We start from the raw sequence: 15,106 nt of genomic DNA, 5'->3' as shown, positions 1-15,106 counted from the left end.
GAGGTTAGAAGTATACTCGAGTCATATGCTTACATAATTTTTAGATGTTGAAATAAAACTCCACCAGTAGCAAAGAAAAACAAATGTTTTTCCTCCCAAAAGGAAAATTTAAATTCTCTAATCTGATAATTGGGTTCTTATTCCTTCCCTTATTTTTGTAAGCCATTTTTATTTCCATAGCAAATATAATGACATCTGATATTACAGATCTACTGTAATATTATGCTTTGGTATTATGAATATAACATCAAATTTGAGCATGTTAATTTGTGACATTTTTTTTCCAAAGGAACTTAAAGAGGTGAGATCTCACATACAAAGGAGCATATAAATTTAAAAAGTGCTGGTATTTTCATATGTTTTACTTTTAGCAAATAACTTATCTAAAGGACCAAAACTGAATATAGATACAATTTTATTTTTTAATTTTGGAAAATTTGAAATTTAGAATAAAGTAGAAAGAAAAAATGAAAAAAAATTATCGTCTTTGACACATACAAAAGCAACTATTACAAATCATTTGTTGTATTTTCTTTTGTTAATTTTATTTTATTTTCTGGAGAAATAAGTAAGTGAAGAGTTTTTTTAAAATAGTGTATATATAACTAACTTTTTGTTTATTTTATTTTGTTTTCCCTCTTTTTATGATATTCTCAAGCACCAAAAAAGCTGAAACAATAATACAATGAATGAATACATCTGTAGGTATTATTGAGATGTAGCTATTGTACCATTTTACTGTATTTCTTCTGTATATATGTGTGTGAATGTGTGCTTTTTCCTTTTTTTTTTATCTGTCTACTTATTTTGGCTAACCCATTTGAAAGTAAGTCATAAAAAGCATTACTCCTAAAATTTAATACTCATCTCCTTAGAAGACCACTTTTCTACATAAACATAATTTCTTCATGATACCTGAGGAACCTAAGAAAAAAGTAGCTTGAGACTTTTCTAAAAGAAGAAAATGAGTGCGGAATGAGGCCAAATGGAGTAGTCAGGTAAAACACATGTTATTTAAAGACATGAATAGATTGGAATAGACTTTTAGGCTCTTATGTCAAAGTTCAAACATGCTTCAAATATTTACATGATAATATATAGCAAAAATCCATAATCAATAATAGTTACAGATTAAAATCTTTAACTTTTAAAAGAAAGAGGTTTTTTGTAGTTTTTACAGATTTTTACTGTGATGCCTCAATTTTGTTCCTAAAACATTTTCATTGACTGCTACTCATCAAGTACTGAGGACAAAAAGAATAGTTGTTTAAAAATTTCTGACTTTCAAATGGGCTTTGGAAAAAGTTCAATATGGTAAAATATTTTATTCTTGGAGTCTTTTCTTCATTTATAAAGTTTCAAATATAATCTCTGTTTTAGGAAAAGGAGCAAAAGTGACACAAAATGTACTGCAGCAGTATTACTGTTTATGATATGAAATTTTGTAAAAGCAATGTTGAAATTTTCCAAATAGTTGAGGAGACATTCACAGAAAGACATACTCAGAAAGAGGAAGACATGTTTAGAAAGTAGAAAGGCAGCAAAAGAAAATGAGATCAGCTTTTAAAAGGTTTCACATTTTTAGTTGTAATTTTACATTATGTGAAATTTGTATTGTGTTTCAGCATTTTTGAGAAATGTTTTACATATTTACGAACAAATATATAGAAAAAGCAGTGTCCACTTTAGTAAGATGTGAAGACATCATAAAGAATTTAAAGGTCAACTTATTCTCTAGATATGGTGGTAAAACGTTATAAGGATTTGTAAGGGAGAATTGGATTAATTTACATGTGACAAATTATATGTAATTATATATATTTGCACATATATGTAGATATGTTTCCATGTGTGTGTAATTATACATGCAAATATATGTAATGTATGGACCCCTGAACTTTATATTTTCCTCTTTAGGGAATTAGAAAGGCAGTGGAGGCCTATGTCCATATAAATATACACTTAAGCCTATTATAATTGAGACTACAGATCATACTATATGAGAGAATTTAGATTACCTTCATGAAATTATTTTTTAAAAATTATCAATACTATAGTGAAGGATAAAAGACATGGTCACCAAACAGGAACAATGGCTTACTTTAGTATTGTAGATTTAGTCATGGACAACATATGCCCACAAAATTCACATATTTGGGCTGCTTGTTTTCACAGTGATAGTTGCAGTGTATGCAAATACAGCCTAAGACTGCTGACACACATCTTCAAATGCTTTCAATCATAGCATTCTTCCATTCTATGTCATGCAAATGTGAATGAATTTCTGTACTAGTCTTCCCTTAATAGTGATTAAGGAATGCTTTGAAAGCAAAATAAACTTTTCAAGTTCTTCCTGAAATGATTGAGGAGTATTTTCCATTTGGTGGGTTTAATAACACCACTCTTAAAATCACTGAGAAAATGATCAAGAATGCCTCTGGACTGCAGTTAATCTCAAAGCAGATTTGGAACTTTGTGAGTTTGTGGTGTTGGATGTGGCACTTCGAGTAAGCAATTGCCATAAACTCAAGTGGCTGTCATTTCTTCTGTAGTATTTGTACACAGTGTAATATGATTTGATAGCATTGATACTGGTGGAATGGAGATGTCACTGATCCCTGCATATAAATCTTGACATCCTCCATGTTTTTACAGAAAAACTTATTTCAAATCATCCCCTCTATTGCAGCAGACTAAATCTTGAATTGCTTTTCATTTATACCATTTAAATCTTGACAGTTTATCAGAGTACGCATGTGAGAATCAGTAAAAGATGCAGACACTGTTGGTGTATTTTGTTCTTATAACCTTGATCATTGATTACTCCGCATATTGGATATTTTGTAAGCTGCATGGTGACTAAGAAGGCATGTGGGGAACTTAAAAAATATATTGCAAGTGCTATTAGAGTTCAACAAACATTTAAGGTTAAATACAACCCACAATTTTATTTTGTTCTTAAAATAGCAGTCTCAAAAGTATCTGTTGGTTAGTTAACTGACTCCTGCAAATAAAGTGCTCACTCAAATGAATTTAATTGACTGTTGCCTAAGTGTTAAGCTGTCTTAAAGTACTCATCACATAAAAGTGTTTTTAAATACCCCTGAGTAGGAAGTCTGTTGAAAGCAAAAGAATGGAAGCTGGTATATTCACAAGGGGTGGGTATCATTGCAGGAGATCAGGATAGGGAGGTGTTTGCCTGGTGACAGCAACAGAGGAGAAGGTTTAAGGATGAAGTATGGAGAATTAAATGAAAGGGGCAGGCTGGAACCTAGGGTGAAGTGGGAGAGCTTACAAAAGATTGAACAGAGATGTGGAAGGATCTCTAGTGCAGCAGGATGTCATGGAAATTGAGGAAGCAGTTCAGGAAAAGGGAGAGGTGGAAGAAGAGGATGTCTGAGGAAAAGCCACTGAGGCTTGTGAGTAGGAAGCCTTGAATTACTGGAATGTAGGGCTTTAAGGGGGGAAGAAAATACATTGAGGTCCGTAATACTTTGATAAAACTGAATTATACTTACTGACATGTACACATGTATACAGTTGACCCTAGCACAATATGGGTGTTAGTGTTACTGAACGGACAGTTCAGTAAATGAACCGTTTGCTTTCCTGGTGCAGTAAAGCCAAACATCCACACCAAGGCTTTGCAGTGGGAGAAAGGAGAGTGTTTATTTGCAGGCAGCCAAGCAAGGAGAATTGGTCAGCTCACACTTAAGACCTGATCTCCTCAGTGGCTTATAAGCAAGAGTTTTTAAAGGTAGTGATAAGTTTCAGAAAAGCAGAAGTTAAAGGCCAGATCGTAAGTCAGCACATGCAGGTTATACATTGGTTTGGCCTAAAAAGGTGGGTATCTTGAAGCAAGAGGAGAGGGAGGTTACAGGTCCCTCTCCTAGATGGATTCTGGCTCTCTAATTTGAGTTTGGTTAAGAAAGTGAAGCTTTGTCTAAAAACTTGGAGTCAGGAGAAAGGACTGTTAAGGTCTGGCCTGTGGGCATGACTTCCTCTGGGGCCCTCAGGAAGAAATTTAGAAGCAGGAACTGTGGCCAGGGTTCAGTCCTCATTTCCCCCTTATCTGAGGTCTATAGGCCAGAGGTTCCATTTGGTAAAGGTCCCTTTTACTGAAAAACAGCTCAGGGATATATATTAACATGTTGTCTTTAGTTTCTAGAGGAGCCAGACATCTTGTGACTCCAACTTCCTTGGATATTGTTTTAAGCTATTACTATGTTCTTACTTACCAAGTTGCTCATTTACTTATCAGGGCTAGCTCAGCGCCTGGAATTTCCGTTGAAGGAACTCAAGATTTTTCTTTACTTCTATGCTTGGGAAGGCCTGGCAGGCCCCTAAGAAGGATCTCTGCCCCATCTCAATAGGTGTGTTGACCATCCCCCCAAGTATGAAAATCTATGTATAACTTTTAACTCCCCCAAAACTTAACTGTTATACTTAGAGCCTACTGTTGACCAGAAGTCTTACCAATAAAATAGTCAATTAACACATATTTGGTATGTTATGTGTATTATATTCTGTATTCTTACAGTAAAGTAAGCTAGAAAAAAGACAATGTTATTAAGAAAATTATAAGGAAGAGAAAATGTAGTTACTATTCATTAAGTGGAAGTGGATCATCCTAAAGGTCTTCATCCTCATTGTCTTCACATTGAGTAGACTGGGGAGGAAGAAGAAGAAGGGGGGTTGCTCTTGCTGTCTCAGTGGTGGCAGAGGCAAAAGAAAATCCATGCAAATGTGGACTTGTGCAATTCAAAGCTGTGTAGTTCAGAAGTCAACTGTATTTACATGCATATCTGTGTGCATTCCAGGCCTGCCCATGTTGTAGATGGCACAGTGAGATCTAGAGCATTTCAGGTACTTGTTCAAAGTCACATAGCTTGTTATTGACTCAGTAGAGCTTTTTCTAGACTGCCTGAATTTTCATCTAGGGGGTTTTCAGCTGCACTAAGCCTTTCATCTGTATGGTGTGTTGTACATTCTTCTACAGAAAAGAACCAAGTGGTTCCTCCTTGGTGGTGGGTAAGAGAGACTGTTGATACTTATCAGCGATTGGGAGATAGATGTGTGTGTGCACAAAGACCTGGGTGTGCACTGAGAGGAGTTGAGGAGAGTTGTCTTTTGAAAATATCTCTGAAGATTTTCAACTAATAAGTGTTCTCAAGGTGAAAAGCCTTAAGTGAATGGTCAAACGCTGAACTTCCCAGGAAGGTTGGGTTGCTGAAAGGAAAATGATTTCTTTCAGATAGAGCTGCTTCTAAGTCAAACAAAACTTGAGGGTTCATTGAGATCAACTGGCTAGGAATTTCCTTGACATGCCAACTGGCTTAGTGAATCAGAATTTCATTCACAGTGTAGATATTTGATATGTTCAAGCCCTGGCTGCTATGTTGACCTACCTTGTTTTTCCCTCTTGAAGACTGTACACTGCTCTTTCGGAATGAATAGTGAACACATACTAATGGTTTCTTGCGTCAAATAATTCTTGCTGATTTATTTCACCCACTACTGAGTATTTGGGAGACTGGGTCCTTAAACAGGATGTGTATTTCCTTTATAGTATGTGTATGCCATCTTGCCAATAATGATATGAGTTTGATGGTATGAAAATGCTCACCAGTGTGGAAAGAGGCCATTTCCTCATGATTATCAGTTGCCAGTCATTGTCTTGAAGCTTGCATACAAGTAATGACCACTATCACTTGACCATCTTCAGAGGTGGGCCCTGTGTGAGGTATTTTACATATGTTTTTCTGTAATTCTCATTTCAACTGTGCAGTGTCTATCTCCCACATACTTTCTATGTTCTGTTTCCTCTGAGTTTTAAAAATTTTCTTTTTGCTTGATATAACATTCAGACTCTATGGAGTGAAAAATCCTGTGGGGTATCCCTTGAGGGTCCCTTCCTCTATTAACTAGAGGACTTTTCCAGTGTTTATTCTTTTCAAACTTCCCACATACCCAACTCCCTCCCCACATCCAGAAATTCAAAGCTTGAACATAAGAAAATATTCATTTCTAAGGACCATTTCTACATTCTGTATTACTTTTGAGGCACAATTCTAACTCGAAAAATGGTTGCATATTTTAATTTGAGAACTGGCAGAGCTCACTGCTCTTGTTTTGTTAGGCCTAAGTTGCTGTGTGTTTTCTCTTTTCCCACAGATAGGTATGTAAAACAATTTATTTTCACTTCTCTGCATTTTGCTTCCTTTGAATATCAACCAATACTAAGTCTGAGACAATGCATAGTGAAAGAACTCTGTGGTTACAAATCTAACACTGGATACTATTTTAAATAGAGATATTTTGCATTTAAAATTATTTTGCAAGAACTATATGCAGTAGAGAAAAATCAAGTTACACATGCATCCCTACATATATAAGCATCTGGTTGTGTAATTGGATGAAACTATGGGAGAAGATAGAGTCATTTTATCTTTTATGGTATTATTCTTATCATTTTAAAGCAGTGTCACGTTAATGAACAACTTTTAGAAGTTATTTGCCAACTGTGGTAGGGAAAAGTATAGCCCAGATATTTTCCTAAGGTGGCTGATTGTGTAATGGTTGCCAGTTTTTTCATTTGCCCTAAGACCAACTAATAATGGCTACAAAAACATCATATTAATTTCTTTGAAGAATGTACAGTGAAATGGCAAATGACTTCTAGAAATGGAGAGATTGTTAGAATTTATTTCTCTATCAGTAGATAAATACATAAATGAAGATTATTCAACATCCTTTTTATTGATTCCTTGGTCTGTCAAATTGTTGACAATTATTGGAGCATATTATCACTACCATTGCATTACAAATTCAGTTGTCCAATTTTGTATCATTGTGATCTCACTATGCACATGTGATTTCATGTTAGACGGTTAAGGCTGAAATATTGGTGAATATGACATCTTTCCTCAATGTTCTATTAGTTTTGAAAAAATAACACTTTATTAAATATTAAACACTGATTTTTGGTTATACTACATTGTTGATATTTATCACTTGAAAAGAAGGAAAATAATAAACCTGATGTTGACCAAAAAAAAAAAAGTCAAAAAAATTCTGTACCCCTAGCTGGCCATTAGACTTCCCAATGTGTTTCCAACTTCTGCTTGGCAACTAAGGAAGTAAGCAAGTCTTGGCATTTGACTTATTACTTTCTCTTTATACCATCTGGGCTTACTTTATTTATAGGACTAGGGGTGACAAAAGTAATATTCCTACCTGTCACTTTAATAGGAGGCAATTTATTCCTCTTAACTACAAGGACAGTTCAAAACAAACTTTTTGCACAGGCTGACCTGGGCCTCAGCTAGTGGTGAGTGCCCTCGTGAAACTATATCTTTTTAGGAAGCTGCTCTTTTTTTTTTTTTGGACTGCTCGGACAGCCATTGAAGATCCAGCCCTTATTTGTGGAAGCTCTTGAGGGCTAGTTATGGGGGTGTGAAATGGTGTGTTAACACATGAAACCATATTCCCTGAACTTTGTGACTGTTTGGTTTCTTTATCTGGACAGCTTTCTAGTGTCTGCTGACCTGAGAGAGTGGAATATGTAGGCTGCCATTTTATAAATGGCTCTGGTTAGTTACTCATTGTTTATTCTAACCATGTGTACATTATTTGCTCCTCCAATCTTATAAGCAGGGAGGTTGTGGTGAAAGCTGCTATTGGCTGAACTTAAGGCATCAGGCAACTCTGGGATCAGTTGCTGCCATTGTGACATTGATTGGTGTCACTTGTGGACATGGAAGCACTGGTACGATTAAAGTTTTAGTCCAAAAGCACGTGAATCCTGGGAATAGTCTTTTCCTTTTTTACTTTGTTCATGGCAACATCATTCATTCTGTCTTGTTCTGAAAACTTTTTTGATTTAAAGGGCAGTCTGAGTATGTCACCCAGTAAGTAAAGGGAGATGGCAACATTTGTGTGTTTTTACGTTAGCCTTAAGCTTTAGAGCTCCTAGATTTTGTCTCCAAATAAGTTTTTCATTATTAAATTTTTAGTGGATATTAAAATACCTTGCATGACTTCTTCACTCTATGGCAAAATAGAACTTTTCATTCTTATCCCATGAGTGTGTGTGAGCAAATGTCTGCACACTTGCAAGCGATATTTAAGCTCAGACATATGTACAAAACGAGAGAAGTGGTATTAAGTGGAGCATAATTATGTAGATAATTATGAAGCATTGACTGTTGAACAGTGTACTGTGTGGGTTTCTGAGTGAACATCTATTTTTTCATTAAGGAATAATTTTACTGCAGTATATACAAGGCCACAAATGACATGTTTCTTTCTTTCTTTTTTTTTTTTTTTTTTTTTTTGCTTGATTATGCAGCCAAACAAATGAGAATACTCAGTGCTATGGCCATTATTTCTATTATAGGAGAAAATAAATAACAGTATAAAAGAATCTAATGTTTTTTTTCTGCCTCATGGGGTTTTTGAAAGCTCTTTGCTGCTTATTTTGTTGAGTTTCCCATTGATATTGCTTTGGTGAGTAATTATTTGAAGAAGGGGTAGAAAGTAAATACTTGCTGGAGAATTGTCTCTCAATGAGAACTGATCCAGTGGGCATTATACTGATTCCCCCTTTTCCCCCTCTTTTTGAAGTTACTACCTTCCACAGATTAATAGGAACCTTTTGTCTCAGACTTAATACTTGCATTTATTTGCTCAAACCAGATAACTGAACACAGGTACCAGTATTCACAACTACCATGAAGATAACGACAATTCCATCCTATTTTTCAGGCCATGTATATAGGAGGCTATAGTGAATAAAATCCCATAGTAGACTGCTTCCCATAAATTATGATTCCTCAGTCAGAGGTAATTAAAAGTTTGATGCAATGCTAAGTAAACAATATGCAATAATAATATCAAATAACATTTATTGCATTGCCACTGCTGCAATGAAAAAATACTGCTTATCTTTGCATCAAAAATCCTATATTATAGATATCATTCCCATATAACAGTAGAGAATTCAGTGGCTCAGAGAGCTTAAATGACTTGCCTAAAGCTAAATGGAATATTAATGGGAAAAAAAATCATGTTTATTGTGGTCCAGAGTCACTGTTCCTCCTAGTAGACATGATCTTTCCTAAAGCTGGGGTCAGCAGAATTTTTCATAACATGCGCTAGATAGTAAATATTCTCAGCTTTGTGGGCCATGTAGTCTCTGTCATAACTACTCAACTCTGCCCTTGTAATGTGTAAAACAGCTATAGACAATATATAAACAAGTCAGTGTGGCTGTGTTCCAATAACATTTTATTTATGGACATTAAAATTCAAATTTTATATAATTTTCACGTTATGAAATGTTCCTTTGTTTGTTTTTAGAGACAGGGGTCTCACTTCATCACCCAAGCTGAAGTGTAGTGGTAAGATCATAGTTCACTATAACCTTGAACACCTGGGCCCAGCAATCCCCTGGCTTCAGCCCTCCCAAGTAGCTGGGACTACAGGCACACCACCACGCCAGGCTAATTTATTTATTTATTTATCTTACTTCTTGTAGAGATGTGTTGAATTGAATTTCTGATAAAGTGGTATTATACTTAGATGTACCTTCAAGACTTTATGCCTTGAAGGATAAAGGGCAAAAATATTCCAGGAGGAAGAATGACATAAATCAATCCAAGATATGTTATTTGATAAATCAACTTATTTTGCAAGTAATTATATGTGAATTTCTTGCTGACATCCATGGATGTCTTACTCCCTGTAGGGCTGTAGTCTATGAATATGGAAATTGTGCTCTGTCAATATGGAACTGCTGAATTGAAGATTGCTAGACCTTTGATTTTTTGTTTGTAAGAAGGTGAAATTTGACTTTAGGCCTAAATCTCTGGATTTTTTTTTAAATGAAGCCATTCAATTTAAAGGAAGTGTTTTCTCCCCTCCTGAAATTCTTTGATCCAAATTTAAGAAGTGTTCAAGATAGATTTGGCCCAATAGCCACCATCGTGCAGCTCTGCAAACCTAAATTCCCAGTATCTATGATAGGTCATATACGTATCATATGATTGTAGAATTTGTGATTTGCAAAAACTTGAAAAAAACAAACTAGCCCAGGTTCTATCTGAAAAGCAGACCCAAAGCTCAAACTGAGATTAAGGGACCGAGATGTGGAATGTGTCCAGGCAGCCAGCAGGTGACTGATTTGAATCCTAACTTTGGAAGATTTAGATTAAAGTAAGAATTGCTTGTTGATTACTTGTTAACTAAATTCATAGCTTGCATAAATGATTTCTCATAGATTTGGGGATATTTTGCCAAAAGATACATTCCGTAGGAATAGTAAGGCCTTTGCAAATGCTGACCCTTCCTGAAGGTAACTTTAACCACAGTAAACATTCTTAGAGATTTGAGTAAGTGAAACACCAAGCAGAACTCAGCATTTTTGTTTTGTTTTGTTTTAATGTCTTAGGCAGCTGTTACTTTCAAACAAGTCATTAAAATGCAGAAAAGGGACTTTAGTTCAGCACTCTGAGGTTTGCAAAAGATTACTGTTAGGGTGCTATTGCTGTTGAAAGTGCTATTTTTGTATGTACTTTCGTGAAGCTAGTCCTGTCTTGTACCTGTACTGATGGTACTCAGAAGGGTGTGCACGGGGTGTAGATGATCAAGAATCTGCAAACTGCCTAACAGAAATAACTGCCTCTGTAAGGACACAGTGAAGATGTTTCATGAGAGTCATAGACACATTCACTGAATTCGCTTCCGTTATATGTTCATATTTTTATATAATATATTGTGTTATAGTTGGATGCATAAATTACAGTTGGAGTTAAGTGAATCTGATTAGGGTGGTCTCAGGAAAGTCTGAAGTCTTTCTGTGATCAGCTGTAACATTTTGTAAATTAAAACCATCTGCAATGATGCTTAAGTAAACACACCTACAGACCCAGGGAGATTCCCAGACAATTGCTAATTTACTAAGTTTTCATATATATATATATGAAAACTTATATATATGTATATATATGTATATAAAATAGGTATGCTAAGAGGTTAGAAGAAGTGTGTGTTAAATATGGTCACTATCTTCTGAAAGTATAAAGCCCGGGGATGAGGGTGATAAGAGTGAAAAACAAGTACATGTAATATATTATAGGATAATGATGTTGTGATGAGTAAAATACACAAACATTGTTCTAGGAATTCAGAATGAGGAACGATTACTACAAGGGAGATAATGAGGGAGGATGAATGAAAGAATTGAGAGCAGAGTTTCCTCAGACTTCCTTACACAATTTGGTGGCTTCTCATACATACTGCCAAATGCTTCTTCCAAAACGGTGGTACCAAAAAAGTATAGAGAGATTCCGGTTTAACTCATCCTCTCCAGCCCTGTGGGTTACTTATTTATAATCTGTGCCATTATTAAGGAAAGCAATAGGAATTAAAAGGAAGCCGGGCACAGTGGCTCATGCCTGTAACCCAGCACTTTGGGAAGCCAAGGTGGGTGGATCACGAGGTCAGGAGTTTGAGACCAGCCTGGCCAACATGGCGAAACCCCGTCTCTACTAAAAATACAAAAATTAGTTGGGCATGATGGCGTGTGCCCGTAATCCCAGATACTCAGGAGGCTGAGGCAGGAGAATTGCTTGAACTCGGGATGTGGAGGTTGCATCACTGCACTCCAGCCTGGGCAACAGAGCGAGACCCCATGTCAAAAAAAAAAAAAAAAAAGAAAGGAAAGGAGCACCACTTTTTTATTCAGAGTGCTTAATAGTCACTTAGAATTAGGTGATTTAGCAAATGCAAAGTGTGTAATACTGGGCCTAGCATCCCATGTTTATTTTCCCTCCACAGGTTGACATTTTAGAATGTGCATGTGTTTATTAACTAAGAATATATAATGAAGAGGGATTTTGTTCCATACTGTATAGCTCTAAGAAACAATGCTTCTGAAAACAAAATAAAATATGTTTTTGTTTGCCAACATTTTTGGCAATACACAGTATTTCTCTTCTCCCTGAGGCTACAGAGGTAGCAGTTCAGTAGATTTGAGGAGGGCTCTCTTGTCTTTACTGTATCTTGGGCCCAGTGATACTCTTTCAATTTTTAAGATGCTTATACTTTTTCTTACATTGCCAAGGTTGGTTTCATTCCTAAGAAAAGGAAATGAAAGAAATATCTTGCAGTTGTCACCCATTCCCTCCTAAAATAATCTGGGGCACTGGTGGCAGGAGAGAAGGTTTCTAGACCAAAGCTTATCAAATTGGGGATAAGAACCCATTGATGTTGTGATGATATGAACATAGTAGTAGTTTATGTCTAGCATTTTTAAAAGTAGGATAAAGCACATCAGATGGAATAGAATAGAGTAGAATAGAATATAAAGGAAAAAAGTTAACAGTCCAGCATGCAGTAAGGATTAATATTATTTGAAGAAATCTTTTTATCAGTTGTATGTTTACTTTATCAGTTGTATGTTTATCAGTTGTATGCTTACTGTGTCTACAATTAATCATGATGATAATTACATTTTTAATTGTGAATCAATTAAAAATAAGTTTAACAAATGTAAGCCTAGGCAACTCTAAGACATACCCCAATCTCCGCACCCCATAGTTCCAGATGCATTTTGGGGAAAGTTGTTGTAATAGTCCATTTTCATACTGCTATTAAGAACTGCCAGAGACTGGTAATTTATAAAGAGAAGAGGCCTAATTGAATCACATGGCTGAGGAGGCCTCAGGAAACTTACAATCATGGCAGAAGGCAAAGAAGCAGCAAGGCATTTCTTCACACGGTGTCAGGAAGGAGAAGAGCCGAGCAAAGGGAGAAGAGTCTCTTATAAAACCTTCAGATCTCATGAGAACTCACTCACTATCACTAGAACAGCATGGGGAAACTGTCCGCATAATTCAGTTACCTCAACACATGGGGATTATGGGGATTACAATTCAAGATGAGATTTGGGTGGAGACACAAAGCCTACTCATATCAGTTATCCTTTCTGTTCTGCTTCCTTAGACCTTCATATCTTACCCCACAACCCAACTCAATCCCTCTCAGTAGTCTGGAAGTATAAAATCAGGATCCTCACTTAAGAAAAGAAACAGGGAGGCCAGGCGCGGTGGCTCATGCCTATAATCCTAGCACTTTGGGAGGCCGAGGCGAATGGATTGCCTGAGCTCAGGAGTTTGAGACCAGCCTGGGCAACACAGGGAAACCCAGTCTCTACTAAAATACAGAAAGTTAGCCGGGTGTGGCAGCTGGCACCTATAATCCCAGCTACTCAGGAGGCTGAGGCAGAAGAATTGCTAGAAGCCGGGAGGCAGAGGTTGCAGTGAGTCAAGATTGGGCCACTGCACTGCAGCCTGCGTGACAGAACAAGACTCTTTCTTAAAAAAAAAAAAAAAAAAAAAAAGAAAGAAAGAAAGAAAAGAAAAAGAAACAGGGAGGGAGAAGTAGATGGTGTTTATACACTCAGACATTTACAAACACAGTGCTGGCTTCTGCTTACTATGGTGGGGGCAGTAATAGAGTATGCTCTTTTCTACTTTATGAGATTACAGCTGTAAAATACTACAAAATACAATCACTAAGTCGTATTAGTTCTTTTTTTTTTTTTTCTTAGAGATGGGGTCTCACTCTGTTGCCCAGGCTGGAGTGCAGTGGTGTGTTCATGGCTCACTGCAGTTGCAAACTCCTGGGCCCAAGTGATCCTCCCATCTCAGCCTCTTGAGTAACTGGGACTATAGGCATGCACTACTGCGCCCCACTAATTGTTATTTATTTATAGAGATGGAGTCTTGCTATGTTTCCCAGGCTTGTCTTGAACTCTTGGCTTCCTATGATCCTCCTGCCTTGGCCTCCCAAAGTGCTGTGATTATAGATGTGAGCCAGCACACCAGGCCTAGTATTAGTTCTTAATAGCTTCTCCATTACAACTAATTTACAAAAGGAATTCTTCATTGGATAATTATTTGCTCATAGAAACAGTGACCTTGAACTAGTTTGATATGAAACATTCTTTCTAAGATACATAAAGGGAATTGTGTCTGGTCCTAACTGGCCTTGACCTGAACCCTTTGTTAAAGAATAGAAACTGTTAGAAATAATGGGTTCCATAATAGAAATGAAATCATCTCTATTAAAACCTTTGAAAGTAATGTGTTAAAGAAATATTTTAAAAAGAGTTGATTAATGCACTCTTTTCATGTGGTGAGTGAGAACCTTGTGAATTTGCACATTTCAAAAATGTACAATAAGTATAATAGAAAGAGGGAATGTAAGTGTTGTTTTTTTTTTTTTTTCAGATAAATGGACCATTGACTGTGTTCTCCTGGTGTATTGTACACATTGCATATTGCATCCAACAATGGCATTCTAACTTTTTTTTTTAATCATGTGGGGTTGCTATTAAGCTGTCTAGCAAGAAAGGTATAATTATGTTCTGAGAATTATAGAAGGATGTCATGGAGGTTCAAAAACATTAAAGCTCACATTCATAAAAAGAAAATAGCATGAATTTAAATACAGAAAGCTATGAAGTACTTTGAAAACATTTTAATCTCCCAAGACTCCAACCCATCTCCTCCCACCCTGTTTTTCTGCCAAAAACATTATGTCCTGCGCTATAACTATAAATTAACCCTTTCATTCAACTATAAAGAACATTTCAACAAGCAAAAATATAGCCATTGGAGTTAAACAGTATCAACATAAAACACTGGGCACTTTTAGAAGTACTCTCAAGTCCTCTTCTTTTATGGAATTATAGTACAGACTAATGTTAATCAGTCCAGTGAAATAGATCATACCTTTAAATCAAACTCTGCGATTAATTTATGAAAGCAAAGTGCCAAAATCAAGATACTTAACCTTAAACACAAACCATTTTGTACATATATTTTTATATGTGTGGACATTTTTGTGTTTCCTTAGGCAGGTTGCAATTAGAGGATGAATGCAATTCCTGGTAAAATCTCCATGCTTTGAAAGGGCTCTGCCATTCCTGCGAGCAGTATTATTTTACTTGAACATTTATTTCTAGGTCCTGTGAAGCTTAACCAGTCCCTCTCAGTTCCAATTCCCTAATTATTGAATGCCACTTCCCATGCAATGAGAA

At 36.2% G+C, this 15,106-nt stretch overlaps 1 protein-coding gene across 3 annotated transcripts in view; it reads left to right on the top strand.

The window, feature by feature from the left end:
• CNTN3 (contactin 3) overlaps window positions 1-15,106 on the top strand; it is a 352,092-nt gene that overhangs the window by 93,631 nt on the left and 243,355 nt on the right. The window contains exon 1 of one of the 3 annotated variants that reach the window (XM_011533768.3): window positions 660-4,373. The exons of the other annotated variants lie outside the window; for them this stretch is intronic. Coding sequence (XP_011532070.1) covers window positions 4,319-4,373 — 55 coding nt within the window. The 5' untranslated portion in view covers window positions 660-4,318. Of the gene's footprint in view, window positions 1-659; window positions 4,374-15,106 lie in introns of those variants that run through there. 3 annotated transcript variants of the gene reach the window in all.

The sequence above is a fragment of the Homo sapiens genome, chromosome 3 (genome assembly GCF_000001405.40).
Source record: "Homo sapiens chromosome 3, GRCh38.p14 Primary Assembly".
Classification (NCBI taxonomy): Eukaryota; Metazoa; Chordata; class Mammalia; order Primates; family Hominidae; genus Homo; species Homo sapiens.
This window is presented reverse-complemented; position numbering and strand designations above follow the sequence as displayed.